At 47.1% G+C, this 21,264-nt stretch overlaps 1 protein-coding gene across 11 annotated transcripts in view; it reads left to right on the forward strand.

Annotated features, from left to right (window-relative positions):
- Window positions 1-20,634, forward strand: part of MX2 (MX dynamin like GTPase 2) — a 47,367-nt gene extending 26,733 nt beyond the window's left edge. For all 11 annotated transcript variants that reach the window (NM_002463.2, XM_011529573.3, XM_024452080.2 and 8 more), the window contains 9 exons: window positions 1,806-1,944; window positions 6,828-7,026; window positions 8,854-8,932; window positions 10,138-10,260; window positions 10,437-10,578; window positions 13,211-13,369; window positions 14,508-14,584; window positions 17,985-18,239; window positions 19,232-20,634. In NM_002463.2, coding sequence (NP_002454.1) covers window positions 1,806-1,944; window positions 6,828-7,026; window positions 8,854-8,932; window positions 10,138-10,260; window positions 10,437-10,578; window positions 13,211-13,369; window positions 14,508-14,584; window positions 17,985-18,239; window positions 19,232-19,474 — 1,416 coding nt within the window. In that variant the 3' untranslated portion in view covers window positions 19,475-20,634. The remainder of the gene's footprint in view (window positions 1-1,805; window positions 1,945-6,827; window positions 7,027-8,853; window positions 8,933-10,137; window positions 10,261-10,436; window positions 10,579-13,210; window positions 13,370-14,507; window positions 14,585-17,984; window positions 18,240-19,231) is intronic.
- The last annotated feature ends 630 nt before the right edge of the window (window positions 20,635-21,264 follow it).

Below are 21,264 nucleotides of genomic sequence, written 5' to 3' on the forward strand. Positions count from 1 at the left end.
CACATGAGTGAGTGTGCATTAAATACGGTGATTCCCAGCCCAGAGCTTTTGTACCCCCAGGGGACACTGGCAATGTCAGGACATCTTTTTGCTTGTCATAACTCAGGTAAGGGGTAGGGTTTGCTAGTGGTTTGGATGCTACCGGTATCCAGTGGGTAAAGGCCACAGAGTCTGCTGGACAGCTTACAATGCCTAGGATGGCCACCATGGCAGAGTCATCCTTCTGAATTGTCAACAGTGCTGGAAGGAGAGCTGGAGAACCCTGGGCTGTGTGGTCTGTTTGCCTGCAGACATCAGCAGGACAGCCCCATGGGTGTAGCAAAGGGAATAAGCACACAAGCAAGAAGAGAGTTTTCAACTAAAGGACGATCAACGTTAAAACTTGTTCAGAAGTATAGCATCTATTATTCAATGATTAGTAAAGCAGAAAATAAAGTCAAAAAAAAAAAAACTTGTTCAGAAAGGTTGCTTAAGGCCAGGTGCTGTGGCTCATGCCTGTAATCCCAGCACTTTGGGAGGCCGAGGTGAGCAGATTACTTGCGGCCAGGAGTTCAAGACCAACCTGGGCAAGGTAGCAAGACCCTGTCTCTACAAAAATAAAAAATTAAAAAATTAACCAGGCATGGTGGTGCATGCCTGTGGTCCCAGCTACTCGGGAGGCTGAAGTGGGAAAAACACTTGAGTCCAGGAGTTTAAGATTGGGGTGAGCCGTGATTGTACCACTGCACTCCAGCCTGGGCAGCAGAGCAAGACCATGTCTCAGTAAGTACATACATACATACATACATACGTACATACATACATACATACATAAAAATTAAGATTGCTTATAACTTTAGCCAGTTAAGTTTTCTCCTGGCCGAGGCTTCATTGGGCCTGTTTGTATTTGATGATTTTATTTGACTCCAGTGCTCAATTTCTTCTGTGTTGTCAGCTCGGGCTAATGGGACACAGAATGGCTCATTTTTGGCTGTGCAGTTTTCTGTCTTCTGTGCACAACTTAAAATAATTATATGGGGCACTGTCTGAGCACAACTATATGTAAATTGTGCCAAAATATAAGGAACTATGTCCCAAGGTGCCAGCTTTTTCCTTGTCTGTTTGTGTTGTTGTTGAGAAAAATAATATTAAAAGTTGGCATTTTAAGGCATATGTTGCCTACATCTCCATTTTGCCTACACAGTCTAATAAATTTTATTAGATTTCTCTTATTTGATTGAACTAGACCCCTTCCAAGAACAAATCGCAGGTAAAAAGTCACTAATATTAGAAAGAAACACGTGGAGATATTCTCCATGGGAAGCATCTGAGGTCCCTGCCTCTGGGGAACTGTGTGGGGAGCAGGCATTGCTCGCTGAGCACCTGCTGCCTGGGCTCCGTGCTGGACTCTGCATGGGGACACCAGGACAGAGAAGATGTCACCGCTGGCCGCAAAGGCATCTCTGGACTTCTGAGTCAGATACAACATACGCACAAGTCACTCTAATAGAAGGCAGGATCTCCAAGGCATCTCGGGTGAGATCTAGAGGGGAGGGAGGGGTTGTACTTGGTTGCAGGAATCAGGGGGTCTTCAGGAAAGAAGACATGCCAGCCGTGGGCTTTGAAGGACAAGTGGGAGGTCATCAGAGACCAGGGCAGGGCCGCCGGGGCAGGCATTCCCAGGACGGGGCTCGGCCTAGCAAAGCCCAGAGTCACACTGTGGGACAATGTTGCCTTTGCGCCATCATGCCTGCCTGCCTGGCCGTGCTGCTGAGTGACCAGAAGTGAGACGTGTGCTCTTTCTTTGTGCGATTCTTTGGCATCAGATCAAGGCTCTCATCAAGAAGTACATCCAGAGGCAGCAGACGATCAACTTGGTGGTGGTTCCCTGTAACGTGGACATTGCCACCACGGAGGCGCTGAGCATGGCCCATGAGGTGGACCCGGAAGGGGACAGGACCATCGGTAAGAGGAAAGAACCAAGTGGCCGGGTGCGGTGGCTCAAGCCTGTAATCCCAGCACTTTGGGAGGCCAAGACGGGCGGATCACGAGGTCAGGAGATTGAGAACATCCTGGCTAATCCGGTGAAACCTCGTCTCCACTAAAAATACAAAAAAATTAGTCGGGCATGGTGGCTGGTGCCTGTAGTCCCAGCTACTTGGGAGGCTGAGGCAGGAGAATGGCGTGAACCCGGGAGGCGGAGCTTGCAGTGAGCCGAGATCATGCCACTGCACTCCAGCTTGGGCGACAGAGCAAGACTCCATCTCAAAAAAAAAAAAAAGAACCAAGCTTCCAGGGCATCCAGGGCATGGGAAGGGAGGGAGGGATGCCGCACTTCTTTGGAAGATCCTGGAACGTATCATATGCCAGTGTGTCCTGCGCTGAATACAAGTGCTATTGTTCTTGTTCCTTAGGAATGGCTTATTGAGGACTGAAGTAGGTAATATCAACTGCCCAGTAGATGGACCTGAGCATGTCAACAAAGTTAACACTGAAGAAAAGAAAGGAAAGAAAAAAAGTTTTCTAAAAAAAAGGATCTATTTGAATATTAACATCTCCAAGGAAACTTAGTACTACTTTTTAATAGTCAGTTTTCTGGTCCTCTCATCGCCATAAACTCAGATAATCAACAGTTATCAATAAATATTAGCTTTTTTTTTTTTTTTGAGACAGAGTTTCACTCTATCCCCCAGACTGAAGTGCAGTGGCATGATCTAGGCTCACTGTAACCTCTGCCTCCTGGATTCAATTCTCCTGCCTCAGCCTCCCAAGTAGCTGAGACTACATGCACATGCCATCACGCCTGGCTAATTTTGTATTTTCAGTAGAGACGGGGTTTCACTGTGTTGGCCAGGCAGGTGTCAAACTCCCAATCTCAGGTGATCCACCCGCCTCAGCCTCCCAAAGTGCTGGGATTACAGGTGTGAACCACAGCTCCCAGCCAGCTATTATTATTATAAATTCAGTCAATCAATAGTCATGGGATATACATGTTCTGCTCTTAGTATAGCCCAAAACAATATTGTAAAATAAATGCACATTTTCTTTTTCTTTTTTTTTTTTTTAACTTGGGATATTTTATTTTATTGTTAACTTTTGTTTTAGGTTCAGGGGTACATGTGCAGGATGTGCAGGTTTGTTACATAGGTAAACTTGTATCATGGGGGTTTGTTGTACAGATGATTTCATCACCCAGGTATCAAGCCTAGTACCTATTATTTATTTTTTCTGATCCTCTCCCTCCTCCACCTTCTGACAGATCCTAGTGTCTGTTATTCCCCTCTACGTGTTCATGTGTTCTCATCCTTTAGCTCCCACTTATAAGTGAGAACATGTGGCATTTGGTTTTCTGTTCCTGGGTTAGTTTACTAAGGATAATGGCCTCCAGATCCATCCCACAGAAATGCAAATTTTCTATGCATTCTAGGTCAAGTATAGAAATAGAGAAAAGTGTGCTAGGCTTAAGAGAAACAGACCCATGTTCATAGCAGCATTATCCACAATAGCCCAAAGGTGGGAGCAGCCCAGGTGTTTACAGATGGTTGGATGGATAAATAAAACGTGGCATATACGTAAAACAATATTATTTAGCCTCAAAAAGGAGGGAAATTCTGAAGCACACAACAACATGAGTGAACTTCAACGACATTATGCTAAGTGAAATTCCAGTAAGAAAAGGACTAACACTGGGTGATTCTACCTTATTTGAGGTCCCTAGGGTAGTCGGACTCATACAGACAAAGTAGAATGGTGGTTGCCCAAGACTGGAGGGTGGGGAAGTGGGAAATTGTTGTTCAATGGGTGAAGAGCTTTAGTTTGGGAAGATGAAAAAGTTCTGGAGATGGACGGTGGTGATGGTTACACAACAATGTAAATGTACTTAATTACGCGAACTATAAACTGGCTAAAATAGGAAAATTCACTTTACGTACACTTTATTACCATTTTTGTAAAGAAATTTTTTTTAAAAAAACAAGGTAGCTAAAGACAGAGCAGGGGGGAGCATCCTATTTTTATGAGTTGAATTATTCCCTTGCAGACTTGAGTTACGTGTATTTTACAATTCTTTTAAAAAGGAAATTGAGGCCGGGCATGTTGACTCATGCCTGCAATCCCAGCACTTTGGGGGGCCAAGGCGGGCGGATCACCTGAGGTCAGGAGTTCGAGACCACCCTGGCCAACACGGTGAAACCCCATCTCTACTAAAAATACAAAAAATTAGCCGGGTGTGGTGGCACAGGCCTGTAATCCCAGCTACTTGGGAGGCTGAGGCACGAGAATCGCTTGAACCTGAGACGAAGTTTGCAGTGAGCCGAGATTGCACCACTGCACTCCAGCCTGGTGACAGAGTGAGATTCTGTCTCAAAAAAGCAAAAAAAAAAAAAAAAAAAAAGAAAGAAAGAAAAGAAAAAAAAAAGAAAATTGAATGACTACACAATACTTCCAAAGGATGAGAATAGAGCAAATTTGATTATAATATAACAGTGGCTTAGAGAATATCAAGTTTCAAAAAGAACAGTGGGTCGATATTTTCAGGCCCTCACTAAGCTGGTTCCCCACCTGTCCATTGCTATGGATGTTATCTACTCCCTTGGCTTCAGCCGAGCTCCTGTGCCCTCTTAAGACAGAGACTGCTCCTGTCGAGGTCACCCACACCCTCTGCACTGAGGAGCACATGGTCACGTCTCTGTCCTTGCCTCTCCTTTCTCAGCAGCAGTCACCCCAGTTGCCCACTCCCTCCTTCCTGAACCTCCCTCCTTCCTGAAACTCCCTCCTTCCTCCACCATTCTCTCTCTCTCGGGTCGCTTCCGTCACTGGCCAGCTGGAAGTCACATTCTTAGACTCCTTGTCTCCATGCCTCTTCAATTCTCAGGCCTCTAAGTATGGAAAACTTGGTTCTGGGCTCTCCTTCTATCAACGCATCATCACATTAAGTGATCTTATCCGGCTGTGGTTTGTAATCCCATCTACATGCCAGTGACTCCCAAATCTGTATCTCTAACCCTGACCTTGCTTAACTGGACAACTCCGTTTGGCTGTCTGGCCAATGTCTCCAGTTAAACGTGACCAGAACAGAACTCTTGGTTTCGTACTCCATCCTGATTCACCTCCTCTCCAAGGCTTCCCCACCTCATTCACAGAACCCATCCGCCCACCCAGTTCTAAAGCCAAATCAAAGAGTCCCACTTGAGTCCTCCCTCCCCTTGCCTCCAAGTCTAATGTATCTGAAGTCCTGGTGACTCTGCCTCCAAAACGGGTGCCAAATCCATCCACTGCTCTCCATCCCCACTGTCACTGCCTAGACCAAGCCACCATGGTCTCCTGCCTGGTCTGCTCAAACATTCTCCTGCTGTTCGAGCACTCACCTTGCCCATGGCAGTGCCCTCTCCACTGGCCTCCAGACATGTCAATCGGGTCATGCCCCTCTCTGTTTACATTCTCTCCTGCTGCCATCTCACATGCATATAAACCCCGGACTCCTTTATCTAGAAAGCAGAGCCCCAGGTGACCTGGCCCTGCCTGCCTCTCTGATCTCAGTTCCACCGCTCTCTGCCTTGCTCATGACCCTCCAATACGGCTCTGCCATCCCTGCTCCCTCTCAACCAGGGTCTGGAGTGCTCCTTCTCCCTCCCCACTAGGCTGACTCCTCCCTTCCTTCAGATGTCAGTCCAAATGTTGCCTTCTGAGAGCGGACCTCCCTGTCCACCCAACTTGAGACTACATCACGCACCGCTGCCCACGGTCATTTGCCAGCACGTCACTTTATGTTAATTCTCTGCATAGCCCTTATCAATATCCATTCTTCTTTATTTCTCGTATATTACTAGATTAATTTATCTGGAAAGAGAGGTTCAAGAATAGTAGACCAGATAGCCAGACTTACCCACAAATTAAAACGAAGGACAAAATAGCGGAAGATAAGGCCAGGCACGGTGGCTCATGCCTGTAATCCCAACACTTTGGGAGGCTGAGGTGGGTGGATCATGAGGTCGGGAGTTTGAGACCAGCCTGGCCAACATGGTGAAACCTCATCTCTACTAAAAATACAAAAATTAGCTGGGCGTGGTAGCACATGCCTGTAGTCCCCGCTACTCAGGAGGCTGAGGCAGGAGAATCGCTTGAACCGGGGAGGCGGAGGTTGAAGTGAGCCACTGCACTCCAGCCTGGGCAACAGAGCGAGACTCCATCTCAAAAAAGAAAGAGAGAGAGAGAGAGAGAGAAAGGAAGGAAGGAAGCAAGGAAAGAAGGAAGGAAGGAAGGAAGGAAAGAAGGAAGAAAGAAAAGTGCTTTTCAACATACACAAACAAGAAATGCAGTGGCAATTTGACACTCAAGCAACATAAACAAAAAAGAGCACTTGGAATTCAAAGTTTTCAATCCAGTGCAAGCAGGAAGGAGTGGGGACAGAGGAGGGGGAGAGGAAAGTGGGAAGGAGGAGATCAGAGGAGGTGCCCACAAGAGGGAGCGGAGTGAGTCTGTTCAGGAGACACTAGAGAGGGACTCCCCTCAGTAGGGAACAAGGCATTTCTTGGAAACATGGTGCATGGAGCCAGTCCATTCTAACCATGCATGCTGCCTTAGTGCTGGGCACCCAGTAGGCATCCACGAAATATTTGTTAAGTCAACTATCCAGGACACTGAATGAACTGAGTGAGAGGGTGAGATAGCGAGCCAATAGAAATGCAAAGAAGAGGGGCAATGAGGGAATGAGGATGGAATGAGGCACTGGAGGATCAAGACTGCAGAAGACCTTGTTGGCCAAAAAAGGAGCCCATAGTCCAGTAGGAGTCAAACCTGTTTGAGGGGATCACTGACCTTTCCATTTCCCTTCTTTAACCATCTCACAGGTATCCTGACCAAACCAGATCTAATGGACAGGGGCACTGAGAAAAGCGTCATGAATGTGGTGCGGAACCTCACGTACCCCCTCAAGAAGGGCTACATGATTGTGAAGTGCCGGGGCCAGCAGGAGATCACAAACAGGCTGAGCTTGGCAGAGGCAACCAAGAAAGAAATTACATTCTTTCAAACACATCCATATTTCAGGTGAGACTCTTCAGGAAAGCTCTGGAATTAGACTCCATGAAAGCCAGCCCATCTGCAAGAGTTGGCCCAGATCATGACCAAAGTGTATGCACAAATTACACAAGGTAGTATAACCTAGCCTCACCTGATTTTTGTGCTAGATTTCTTGGCTTATTTAGACAAATTATTGTTTCTTAGATTCCAATGATGGTGCTGATTAAAAACTGGAATGTGTCATGACATAAAGCGTAGAACTCTTTGGTTTCCCAAAATGTTTTCACTTCCTTTCTGATTTGAGTCCTTATATTAAGAGATACATAAGGCAGGTGAAGTTTCTCCCATTTCCATGGATAAGAATAATGAGGTCAAACAAATAGTGAATGGGAACAGGACTGAACACAGAGCACCTAACTTCCAGAAACCCGTGTGTACCACCGTAAACGGCACACAGGAAAACCTGCTCGATGGAACTCTCCGTGTTTTTAGAGCCTCCAGTGCCCACAGTCATTTGCCAGAATATCACTTGTTTTTATTAAATAGAAACTTAATAATAACTGGCTTTATTAAATAGAAATTATCCTATAGAGACTCTGTAGTTTGTAGGACGCTGGGATTGTTCCCATTGAATGGAGCACTTTTCCCCTTCATTCTGGAACTTGTTGTTCCTGAATGATCCAGGAGCACAGAGGTCACTCCTGCTTGAAGGAGAGCTAATGGGAAAACTGAATTTGGGCCGAGTAGGTCTACGGCTTGCTGACTATGTGATCTTACAATATGGGCCACCTTCTCGGAATTTTGCCTTTCCCATCTTCTCCAGGGGATCCTACTACTGCCTCACAAGATTGTGGTTAGGATTACGTAACACGACATACACAAAGGTCTTGAGCGCCAACAGCCAGCACTCAGTAAACACCACCCGGTTCCTTCTTTCTTCCTCTCTGCTCCTGCTCTGAGTGGATGAAACATACTGTTTCCAATAGCACTGGAGGACATGAGGAGAAGAAAACTCTCCTCCTTGAGCTGGGAGAAGATTTCAAAATAATCAGGCCCATGGTTCTCCATGCTGAGTGAGCAGCAGACTCTCTGGAGAGTTCCTTAAAATTGTGCTAGCTCTGTCCTGCTCTGCCCTGAGGCCGGGGGAGGTGCCCAAGACTTCCTGCTTCTAACAGGTTCCTCCTGGTTGAGGCTAATGTTGCCAGTCCAGGGACCTCCCTTTGCAAACCGCTTCTCAAGGTCTTTGGGAAATCTGAAATCCTTGCATGCCTGCTTGCTGGGAGCCGTCCCTTGCAGTAAGAGGCACTGGCAGTGCTGGGGAATAATCCTGTGTGCTTCATCCTAAATTCCTGCTATTGGCAAACATGCTGCAGCCACGCTGCCTGCTGTGTGGCTGCAGCAAGCAAATGCAGCAAGCTGCTTAACCTTTCTGTGTCTCAGCCTTTCTTGCTCTAAAGTGGGTTGTTAAATGACTAAATGTGTTAATATTTATAAAGCCCTTAGATTGGTGCCTGGCACTTAGTAAGCACCATATATACTTTTGTGATGAGAAATAAAATACTAATCTGGGCAACTCACTTAATCTCCATGAGGCTGGGTTTGTTTTCCTGTAGCTAAGATGACCTACCTCATGAGTTTGTGGGGATGATAGAAAGGGAGGAGGGAAGGAAGCTTCCTGGCCCACAGTTGCCTGGGTGCAGGCTGGTGGCAAGTGTCTTTCTTATGCACCACTTGGCTTTTCTGATGGCACGTGTTGCCCCGGGGAGCTGGGCTCACCTACCACGCACAAAGTCCGGTACTAGCAAGATGGTACACAAGTCCTTCCTGAATGCATGAATGTCTGTCTCATTTCAGAGTTCTCCTGGAGGAGGGGTCAGCCACGGTTCCCCGACTGGCAGAAAGACTTACCACTGAACTCATCATGCATATCCAAGTGAGCCACGTGGGTTGGGTGACAAGTCATCAATACAGCATGCCCAAGTCACTCTCTTGGTCTGGAGTTGGCTAAGATGCCCCACTGATCTGTCCAAACAAGCAAACAAGTACCCTCTGAACACTGTCTCACTCACTGTCACAGGCTCACTGGAAGAACTTCCAAATTGGGGAAGCAACAAGTACATAGTATTAAAACAAATGTTTGAATTGGTCAACAGGGGGGAAAAAGAAGAGAAGGAAACAGTTTAGCAATATAAAAAGGAGTGACCACTGAGAGAGCAAGTTTTCTTTTTTCAATATGTTGTTAATACTTCCTGGTATAAAAAATTTTTCTTGCCAGGCATGGTGGCTCATGCCTGTAATCCCAGCACTTTGGGAGGCTAAAGCCAGTGGATCACCTGAGGTCAAGAATTCGAGACCAGCCTGACCAACATGGAGAAATTCCATCTCTACTAAAAATACAAAATTAGCTGGGCATGGTGGCACATGCCTGTAATCCCAGCTACTGGGGAGGCTGAGGCAGGAGAATCGCTTGAACCCGGAAGGTGGAGGTTGTGGTGAGCCAAGATCGTGCCATTGCACTCCAGCCTGGGCAACAACAGCAAAATTCCATCTAAAAAAAAAAAATTTCTTCTAGCCTCAAACTTCTAAGAAATAATTGGTTTGTAAGAAATAAGTCCATTTTTATGGATTCTCAAAAGCAGACAACTACAGACAAGGGCCTCATGACATCATCGATTATAGAAAAACTTTGGTTTGGCGGTTATTGAGAAATCGAATATTTTTAGTGCTTGCCTAAACCTTCACAAATGAGGCCAAGCAACATGGGAAGATTTAAATGTACCCTTAGAGCAAAGATGATTCCAGATCCTAGGACTTGGCCCATGCTAAATTGTATATCAGACAAAAGCAATGACTTACTTGAGCCAGGAAGCACATACTCAAAGAAAATTTGGTTTGAAGGAGCCAGTGGTTCTCCAACTTTAAGGCACACAAGAATTACCTGGAAAGTTTGTTACAATTAGATTCCACCAGTCAAGGTGGCCTACACATGTAATCCCAGCACTTTGGGAGGCTGGGGCAGGTGGGTCAAAAATTCCAGATCTTCCTGGATGCTTTAAAGGGCTCCTACTCATATACCAAAGAAATCAGTTGGCCAATCTCTTAAGCCGCAGTTTGATTGTTTGCAATTGTTTTGTTTAGAAATCGCTCCCGTTGTTAGAAGGACAAATAAGGGAGAGCCACCAGAAGGCGACCGAGGAGCTGCGGCGTTGCGGGGCTGACATCCCCAGCCAGGAGGCCGACAAGATGTTCTTTCTAATTGAGGTGAGGATTTCCGCAGGACTCCACGTGACACTGCATCCTTCCCTGGTGGCCCTGCAGCTGCCCTTCCCCTTCTTCACCCATGAGATGAGGTGGGCGGGTGGACATCTCCTTGCAACGCCGGTCCCAGTTCTTTCATATGATTTCCGCAAAGACTATTGACTTTATATCATTTTCAGAAAATCAAGATGTTTAATCAGGACATCGAAAAGTTAGTAGAAGGAGAAGAAGTTGTAAGGGAGAATGAGACCCGTTTATACAACAAAATCAGAGAGGATTTTAAAAACTGGGTAGGCATACTTGCAACTAATACCCAAAAAGGTAAGTTCTGGGCAGGGCTCCCTGCAAAACAGGGTGGTATTTACCCAGACCAGAGGCTATGTCCAGCACATGATAAGTGTGCCAAGAGTGGAACACGTCCATCCAAGACCGTGGAACCCTTGGTAATCAGCAACTGTCTCTCAACGAACAAAACCCAGAAATATGGGGCATCGACCTCAGCAACTCAACACAGGGCAATTCCACTGCCTCTGATGTCCTCGTGTCTTGATTTTGTTTTGTTTTGTTGAGACAGGGTCTCCCTCTGTTGCCTAGGCTGGAGTGTAGTGGCGCAATCATGACTCACTGCAGCCTCAACCTCCCAGGCTCAAGTGATCCTCCCACCTCAGCCTCCTGAGTAGTTGGGACCACAGGCATGAACCACCATACCCAGATAATTTTTGTACTTTTTTGTAGAGATAGGTTTTCACCACCATTGCTCAGGCTGCTCTTGAACTCCTAGGCTAAAGCAATCCACCTGCCTCAGCCTCCCAAAGTGCTGGGATTATAGATGTGAGCCACTGTGCCTGGCCTTGCTTCTTGGTTTTGAGGCTAAATGGCATTCCATGCCCACCTGAGGAATTCGCAGAGCAGCCCAGGGTACCTCAGGGCTGCTATCCTGAGTGCCTGGAGGGAAGCCTGTGCCCAAAGCAGGGGTCCAGATGACTCTGGGGGCCAGCCCCACATGAAGGCTCTCCAGCCACTGTTGAATTGAGTGCACAGCTGCCAGCTGGCCATGGTGCCTGTTGTGGACACACCAGGCACGGAGCCTTCATTAGTAGCAGCTAAACATCAGCTTGGTAGAAAAAGTGACCTGGGATACTTATTTATTTTGGTGGCATTGAGACAGAGCTCAGCATGGGTGCCAGGGGACCAGGGGAGGGGGGAATCCACATGAAATCGTTTACCATCTCCCCCTCTGGAAGGTCTGGGGTGTGATGATCTGGTTTTAGCAATAAGTAAAGACTAGATGAAGTAGCAGTTTTTTAACTGCTAAAATGTGCCCAGATCACCCAAACAATTCCACTCATCCCAATCCCCCTTCTCTTTGCCCCTAATTCAAGATCAGAGAGATTCTTGGTTTGACAAGAGCCTGCTGGCTTCACCTGGCAAAGTTCTGATTCCCATGTGCTCCAGCCCAGGTTCCAGTAGGGCATGTGTGTGTGTATGTGTGTGTCCATTTTCACACAGCTATAAAAAACTACCTGAGACTGGGTAATTTATAAAGAAAGGAGGTTTAATGGACTCACAGTTCCACATGGCTAGGGAGACCTCAGAAAACTTAACAATCATAGCAGAAAGCAAAGGAGAAGCAAGCACCTTCTTTCCAAGGTGGCAGGAGAAAGAGCAAGGAAGAGCTGCCAAACACTTTATTTATTTATTTATTTTGAGACGGAGTTTCACTCTTGTTGCCCAGGCTGGAGAGCAGTGGTGTGATCTCGGCTCACTGCAACCTCAGCCTCCCAGGTTCAAGCAATTCTCCTGCCTCAGTCTTCCAAGTAGCTGGGATTACAGTTGTGTGCCACCACACCCAGCTGATTTTTGTACTTTTAGTAGAGATGGGGTTTTGCCACGTTGACCAGGCTGGTCTCGAACTCCTGACCTCAGGTGATCTGCCCTCCTCTGCCTCCCAAAATGCTGGGATTACAGGCATGAGCCACTGCTCCCAGCCCCTAAACACTTTTAAACTATCAGATCCTGTGAGAACTCACTTACCATCATGAGAGCAGCATGAGAAAAACCACCCCCATGACCTAATCACCTCCCACCAGGTTGCTCTCTTGACACATGGGGATTACAATTTGAGATGAGATTTGGATGGGGACACAGAGCCAAACACAATTTGAGATGAGATTTGGTTGGGGACACAGAGCCAAACACAATTTGAGATGAGATTTGGTTGGGGACACAGAGCCAAACCATCTCATTGTGTGTGTGCTGTTGTGTTTTTGTTCTGGCACTTGGAGAAAACAGCACTGTTTACCTCCGTGGAAAGATCCCTCCAACGGTAAACTGTGGCTGTATGCTTGGGAGGTAAGGGGTACAAGATTAAGTTTCCATATTCATTTAACTGATCAGATTTTTGTGTTTAGTTTTGTTTTTGTTTTTCAGAGACAGGCTCTTGCCGTCACCCAGGCTGGAGCACAGTGGTGTGATCATTCCCAGATAGCTGGGACTAAAGGCACATACCACCATGCCTGGCTCATCTTTTTTTTATTTTTGTAGAGACAGGATCTTGTTATGTTGCCCAGGCTGGTCTCGGACTCCTGGCCTCAAGTGATCCTCCCACCTTGACCTCCCAAAGTGATGATATTACAGGTGTGAGCCACCACACCTAGTTTCTAATCAGGTTTTTTTTTTTTTCCTACCAGTTAGAAACAATAGCTTCTCTCTTGGGGTGATGACTTTCAATTGAAACACATTTTCATAGAATAAGATTTTTTTCCCCCAAAAGTCAGTATTTCTTAAACTCCTGTTATTAGACCATGAATATTTTTCTCATTGTGAACAAAACTCCACTTTGCAACATTGCCTCTGCGTACAGTGGGGAGCAAGACTTTATAAAACTGTTGCTAGCTTTACGACGTCTGCAGAATTAGCAGAATTCACCATGGAGGTCTGTTTGATGTTGCAGTTAAAAATATTATCCACGAAGAAGTTGAAAAATATGAAAAGCAGTATCGAGGCAAGGAGCTTCTGGGATTTGTCAACTACAAGACATTTGAGATCATCGTGCATCAGTACATCCAGCAGCTGGTGGAGCCCGCCCTTAGCATGCTCCAGAAAGCCATGGGTGAGGACTTTCAAGCAGGACTCCCAAACCATCACTCTCATACCTTCCATAGACCCCAGTGCCTTGGAGGGAGAGATTGGAATGGAGTTACCAAACCAGCCTGCAGACACGCTCACTGGTGTGCTAGATTGCTACTCTGTGTGGTCTGTGAGCCAGCAGCACTGGCAAGGCCTGAGAGCTGGTCAGAGCTACCGATTCTGCCCTTCTGCCTGAGAACTCGTACTGAGGTTTCCAGGAGATGGGGAAGCACACTGAGTGCCATAGGCGTTCCATCGCTGTCCTTCAAACACGTGGAGGAGGCGGGGAAGATGGTTTCTCTTGTCTTTGGGGGGCAGGCAGAGGGTGCACATGCACTTCATCTGTATCACACGCAGCCACCAACACAGCCGCGTAAGGCAGCGGTCCCCAGTCTTTATGGCACCAGAGACTGCTTTCATGGAAGACAATTTTTCCACAGACCAGTGAGGGGTAAGAAGGATGGCTCCAGGATGAGTCAACTGCATTGCATTTATTGTGCCCTTTATTTCTATTATTATTACATTGTAATATATAATGAAATAATTACACAGCTCACCAAAATATAGAATCCTCATTATGGTGGGAGCCCTCAGCTTGTCTTCCTGCAACTAGACTGTCCCATCTAGCGGTGATGGGAGACAGTGACAGATCGTCAGGCATTAGATTCTCATAAGGAACACGCAACCTAGATCCCTCGCACGTGCAGCTCACAACAGGGTTTGTGCTCCTGTGAGAATCTAGTGCCACCGCAGATCTGAAAAGAGGTGGGGCTCAGGCAGCAGTGCTCACTAGCTCACTGCACACCTCCTGCCGGACACGGACTGGAACTGGTCCAGCCTGGGAGTTGGGGACCCCTGATGTAAGGAATAGTCAGAGGCTAACATGCACACAGGCACGGGAAATGGACAGGACCTGCCCAGGCTGCATGAGGGCTGGATTGTGTGGCCCTGGAATGATGTCCCACCCTCTCCTATCGCGGTTTGCAGGTCTAGGGAACTCAGTCTCCTGGAATGGGTCAGTGTATCATCAGTCATCCTCCCTGTGTCTTTAACCAGTTTTATTTCTGCTTGCATTTTACTGATGTTTTCTTCTTCTTCTCCTTTTTGCTTTTTTTGGTCAGAAATTATCCAGCAAGCTTTCATTAACGTGGCCAAAAAACATTTTGGCGAATTTTTCAACCTTAACCAAACTGTTCAGGTAAGCACCCAGAGTTCACTTGCTAGTCACCTGGACCACTGGCTGTTTAACCTTGAGAGAAGTTGGATATTCACTGTCATTTGGAACCATGAGGCCAGGGATGTAATGGCAGGCTGGCGAGGCTGGCAGGGCTGGCGGGGCTGGTGGAGCTGGTGACTCCAGGAGCACCTGCCTGCCTGGCTTCTGCTCAGGAGGCGGCTTCACTCCCCAGGAGAAATGAAATGCGGCCCGTGCCCTGCCATCTGTTCTGCACGACCTTACGCAGGATGTGGGGCTCCACCGAGGACTGGCTGGTAGGCTGAATCTTTTTCAAGCATAAAGCACAGCATTGTTTACTAGTCCTACTCCCAAATTTGTATGTTTGACTCAAAGATGTTGCCGTAGCTCTGTGGGTTTCTACTTAGCAACTCTTCCCCCGAGTTACCTTCAGCAAAGGCAAGAGAGGGCATGTGGCACTTGGGCTGTAGATAAAATTCCTCTTCTGCCCAGGCCTGGGCTGGTGGATTGAAATCTCATTCCATAGTGCAGGCAAGCAAGAAGGACAATTTTCGTCATTTTTCCGTCATATAAATTAATTTCTTCTTTCACCCTTTTTGCCTGTTAGTGAAAATTAAATCCCAGTTCTGACTCCCGCCCACTTTCTCAGGGGCTGTGTCTGAGTCCCGGGTGCCTGCTCATGGGGTGGGTGACCTGCCTGGTCCCCAGTCACCAAGATGTCCATTGTCCTTCCCGGGCCTTGGTCCCCTTGGTCCCTGAGCTCCTGCCCAGCCCCGCCGGGACACAGGAAGCACTCGGCTGCAGGCCCAACTGCTCTGGGCCATGGGAACTCTGGCATCCACCAAGGGCCTTCACCTCTTTTGTGCTGCCCTTGGATAGACACAGCCTTGCAGCAGCTCCCGGCTCCTCACCAGGGACTGCGGGGCTCTCCAAGGCCATGACCTGCACACTGCCCTCAGCCACAACAGAGCCTGGGGGGCTCGCTGCCTCCTGTGTCACAAATCTTGAGGAGTGCGGCACAGGCCACTTCTGCTCCCAGAGGGTCTACTGTCCTTTGTTGTGTAGACCGAAAGTGACTGAGGCAGATCTGCCTCGATCCGAGATTTATTTTGCCCAGGTCGAGGATGTACGTGGGAAAAAGAAATACAAGTTCCAGTGCTATCTGTGACCTGTGCTTTTCCTAAGAGGGTTTAGGGGAACTTCAGTATTTAAAAAGGAAAGAGCGAGCAGGTGGGGAAGAAAGAAGGAAGGAGGGTAGGCAATGAGGCAATGAGGCAGAGGTCACCCTCGTGTAAGGCTCTGACCAGCACTCAGTGAATCTATGTGTTAAATGTGAAAAGAAAGGCGTGGAGAGAAAGTCAATCATGCATTCATCTCGCGCTCAGTAAATCTACATTTTACATCGGATAAAGTGCACATGTGAAATCACAGCTTCTGTTTGGGAACAAAAGAAAGGCAGTTAACTTTCCCTTTAGTATAGTAAGTTTGGGGTCCCAAGAATCTATTTTTCTTTCACAGTTGTCACATATACTCAAAAAAAAAAAAAAAAAAGAAAAAGAAAAAAAAAAGAGAAAGAACAAACAAACCAGCACCTGTGAAACTTCACCTCTGAAACTCACTCTCTCACTCTCAAGCCACTGCTTCTGCCTTCAGTTTTAAAAAGTCTATTTGAAGCTCAAAAGCCTAGGCCAGGTGTGGTGGCTCACGCCTGTAATCCTAGCACTTTGGGAGGCCGAGGCGGGCAGATCCCTTAAGGTCAGGAGTTCGAGACCAGCCTGGCCAACCCGGTGAAACCCTTGTCTCTACTAAAAATACAAAAATTAGCCAGAAATCACTTGAACCTGGGAGGCGGAGGTTGCAGTCAGTCGAGATTGTGCCACTGCACTGCAGCCTGGGTAACAAAGAGAGACTCCATCTCAAAAAGAAAAAAAAAAAAGAAAAAGAAACTCAAAGCCAGGACATGACAGTCTTAGTTCAAGCTTCTATCACAAAGTCCCACAGACTGGATGTGTCTTATTAACAATAAAAATTTGTTTCTCATGGTTCTGGAGGCTGGGAGCCTGAGATCAGTGTGTCGGCATGGTCAGGTGGCAGTGAGGGCTCTCTTTCAGGTTGCGGATGGCCACCACCTTCTTGTGTATCCTCACACGGTGGAAAGAGCGCTCTCTGGGGTTGCTTTATAAGGGCCTCAGTCACATTCATGAGGCTCTACCCTCATGACTAATTGCCTCCCACTTCCCAATACCATTACCTTCCTACTTTGGTTTCAACATGTAAATTGGGGGGCAGGGGACACAAATGTTCAGTCCATGGCAGTGACCCTGTGACCCCCCTTCTCTGCTACATCACCTCTTTCTTTCCTTTTTTTTTTTTTTTTTTTTTGAGATGGAGTCTCACTCTGTCACCCAGGCTGAAGTGCAATGGCGCCATCTCGGCTCACTGCAACATCTGCCTCCTAGGTTCAAGTGATTCTCCTGCCTCAGCCTCCCAAGTAGCTGGGATTACAAGCACCTGCCACCACACCTGGCTAATTTGTGTATTTTTAGTGAGATGGGGGTTCGTCATGTTGGCCAAGCTGGTCTCAAACTCCTGACCTCAGGTGACCCACCTGCCTCAGCCTCCCAAAGTGCTGGGATTACAGGAATGAGCCATCGCACCCGGCCTTTTTGAGACGGAGTTTCGCTCTTGTCGTCCAGACTGGAGTGCAATGGCATGATAGCTCACTGCAACCTCTGCCTCCCAGGTTCAAGCCATTCTCCTGCCTCAGCCTCCCAAGTAGCTGGGATTGCAGGCGTGTGCCACCACGCCCAGCTAATTTTGTATTTTTAGTAGAGATGAGGTTTCACGATGTTGGCCAGGTTGGTCTCGAGCTCCTGACCTCAAGTGATCCACCCTCCTTGGCCTCCCAAAGTGCTGGGATTATAGGCATGAGCCACCATGCCCAGCCAACCTCTTTCTTCCTTGACTGCATGGGTGATGTAGGAGTCCTGGGATTCCTGGGAAACAGGTATATCACACTATTATCCCAGTGTTCGTCAGCACTGGAACCATTCTAGCAGAAGTAGCACCCCAGGAATGACTGACACCGTCCCAACAGCATGGACTAAGCCTGTTCCTGTTGAAGGAGCAGAAAGCTGGTGGTGTAGGAGGGACTGGGGATGGCCAGAGAGGAAGAAAGGGCAGGAGAGAAGGTATGTCGCAAGTGGGGAGTGAGGAAACCGGGTTCATAAGGACAGAAAGGGCGAAGTGGGACTTTCTAAAAATCATCATTTCAAGTCTCAGGACTTCTTTGACTATGGATTCGTTTTATTTCTGAGTTCAACATAATAGTACTTCCAAATTTGTTTAAGCCAACAGGAAAGAAGAAAAAGAAGTAATGTGTTTGTCTTTTTTATCTAACCAGAGCACGATTGAAGACATAAAAGTGAAACACACAGCAAAGGCAGAAAACATGATCCAACTTCAGTTCAGAATGGAGCAGATGGTTTTTTGTCAAGATCAGATTTACAGTGTTGTTCTGAAGAAAGTCCGAGAAGAGATTTTTAACCCTCTGGGGACGCCTTCACAGAATATGAAGTTGAACTCTCATTTTCCCAGTAATGAGTCTTCGGTTTCCTCCTTTACTGAAATAGGCATCCACCTGAATGCCTACTTCTTGGTGAGTTCCCGGCGGGGCAGGAGCCGTGCTCTCTGAAATTTGCAGAGCTGAGTAGGGGCTATGCTAACCTAGAGAGGCTTTGCTGAGGGAAGGAGGGAGGGACCACTACAATGTATTAAGCCCTTCTGTATTATGATAAACTACTTATATATTTTCTCATTTATAATTTTACATGAACCCTATGAAGGCACTTTTAATTAATTTGCCCACAATCAATTTTTAAAGTGGTAGAGCGTGTACTCAAAATTAATTCTGACCCCAAAATTCCTTATATTTCTTATGCGGTCCATGAATTACAAAATTACTATGATCAGAATACAGCAAAATACAACAAACGTCAACGATTGTGACTATAAACTAGCTTTCCTTGGTGTTCAGAAGGCACTAACATGCCACACTTGCCAGCCCCACAAGATAGGAATGAAATTTCCTTTCCCTAGATTTTGTGACCCAGTGAACTTTTTGGCCTCTGACTGTCTATCCAATATGCAAGTATCACTGTTCCCAGGAAGAAAAAATAGCTTTTAAACTGCAAAGACACCCACCTCCCGAAGCCCTTTCTCAATCAGAATAGAGTGGTTTCCCAGCCATGGGCACCTGGCTGCCAGGCATACTGGCTATGCCTATGAAGAAGGAATGAGGGGAGGATTCGAAACGGCCCTGGTGCATACCCAGAAGGGAGCCAGGGGAGTCCTGGGCTGGGGGAGTTTCTCCAGCAGGGAGGAGCTGTGGGGATGCCCAGAGGTGATATGGGCTTGCTAGCCTACCAGGGGGCTTCTTAGTGCTAGAGGGGATGCCTGGAAGTAAAGAGGGGTCAGCGCAAATAGAACCTTCACGGGGCTTGATGCTGACCACCGGAGTGGAGGTGGGCGAGACCACCAGGGCTTCGCCAGGCAACCATGTGCGCATCCAGGAACTCCATGCCTTCTCTCTGCAACCACAGGCCTTGGGCTGAGACCACTCCAGCAAACCCTTCTTTCTCCCTCTTCCAGGAAACCAGCAAACGTCTCGCCAACCAGATCCCATTTATAATTCAGTATTTTATGCTCCGAGAGAATGGTGACTCCTTGCAGAAAGCCATGATGCAGATACTACAGGAAAAAAATCGCTATTCCTGGCTGCTTCAAGAGCAGAGTGAGACCGCTACCAAGAGAAGAATCCTTAAGGAGAGAATTTACCGGCTCACTCAGGCGCGACACGCACTCTGTCAATTCTCCAGCAAAGAGATCCACTGAAGGGCGGCGATGCCTGTGGTTGTTTTCTTGTGCGTACTCATTCATTCTAAGGGGAGTCGGTGCAGGATGCCGCTTCTGCTTTGGGGCCAAACTCTTCTGTCACTATCAGTGTCCATCTCTACTGTACTCCCTCAGCATCAGAGCATGCATCAGGGGTCCACACAGGCTCAGCTCTCTCCACCACCCAGCTCTTCCCTGACCTTCACGAAGGGATGGCTCTCCAGTCCTTGGGTCCCGTAGCACACAGTTACAGTGTCCTAAGATACTGCTATCATTCTTCGCTAATTTGTATTTGTATTCCCTTCCCCCTACAAGATTATGAGACCCCAGAGGGGGAAGGTCTGGGTCAAATTCTTCTTTTGTATGTCCAGTCTCCTGCACAGCACCTGCAGCATTGTAACTGCTTAATAAATGACATCTCACTGAACGAATGAGTGCTGTGTAAGTGATGGAGATACCTGAGGCTATTGCTCAAGCCCAGGCCTTGGACATTTAGTGACTGTTAGCCGGTCCCTTTCAGATCCAGTGGCCATGCCCCCTGCTTCCCATGGTTCACTGTCATTGTGTTTCCCAGCCTCTCCACTCCCCCGCCAGAAAGGAGCCTGAGTGATTCTCTTTTCTTCTTGTTTCCCTGATTATGATGAGCTTCCATTGTTCTGTTAAGTCTTGAAGAGGAATTTAATAAAGCAAAGAAACTTTTTAAAAACGTAGCCAGGTTCAGTGACTCATACCTGTAATCCCAGTGACTCTGGAGACTGAAGCAGAAGGATCACTTGAGCCCAGGAGTTCAAGACCAGACTGGGCAACACAGGGAGACCCTGTCTCTAAAAAAATTTGTTTGTAAGTAGCCAGACATGGTGGTGCACACCTGTAGTCCCAGCCACTCAGGTGGCTGGAGCAGGAGGATCCCTTGAGCCCAGGATTTTGAGGCTGCAGTGAGCCATGACTGCACCATGTACTACAGCCTGGGTGACAGAGTGAGAGTGAGACTCTGTCTCTGAATACACACACACACACACACACACATACACAGAGAGAGAGAGAGAGAACTTCACACCAGTGATCATCATTATGGGTAATTTTCTTTTCTTCTTCATGTTTTCCTGTATGTTTCAAATGATGAACATATAGATTCCTTAATAAAAAGGCAATAGAATAAATATCATTGCTGATTTGTTTTAAAACCCAAGTTTGAGATGGAAAGAGTGCCTCAAAAACATTCAGCTTTGTTCAGGGGTACAGACGAGAAAGATTACGTGAATTTCTTTCTTCATTTGCTGTAAAAGATGTTGGAAAAGAAAGTTCAAGTCAAAAATCACAGCTTGACCAGCATCCCCAAGAGCTCTCTTGCAGAGGTCTCTTTGATTTGTGTTCAAATGCTAGTGTATTAGTCTGCTATAGCTGCCATAACAAATATCACATGCTGGGTGGCTTAAGCTACAGAAATTTATTTCCTCCCACCTCCAGAGGCTGGAAGTGTCTGAGATCAAAGTGTTGCTAGTTTGGTTTCTCCTGAGGTTTCTCTCCTTGGCTTGCAGACTGCCACCTTCTCACCAGGCCTATGCTTGGCCTCTCTCTTTTCTCTTACAAGGATCCCAGTCCTCTTGAATCAGGTCCCCACCCTTAGGGCTTCATTTAAGCTTGATCACCTCTTTAAAGACCCTACCTCCAAATGCAGTCACATTGGGAGTTAAGGCATCAGCATATGAATTTGAGGGTGGGGGCATAATTTGTTCCATTACAGCAAGTAAGAAAATAGACATGTGCATTCTGAACACAAAACTCGAGCA

This window comes from Homo sapiens, chromosome 21, assembly GCF_000001405.40.
Source record: "Homo sapiens chromosome 21, GRCh38.p14 Primary Assembly".
Taxonomy (NCBI): domain Eukaryota; kingdom Metazoa; phylum Chordata; class Mammalia; order Primates; family Hominidae; genus Homo; species Homo sapiens.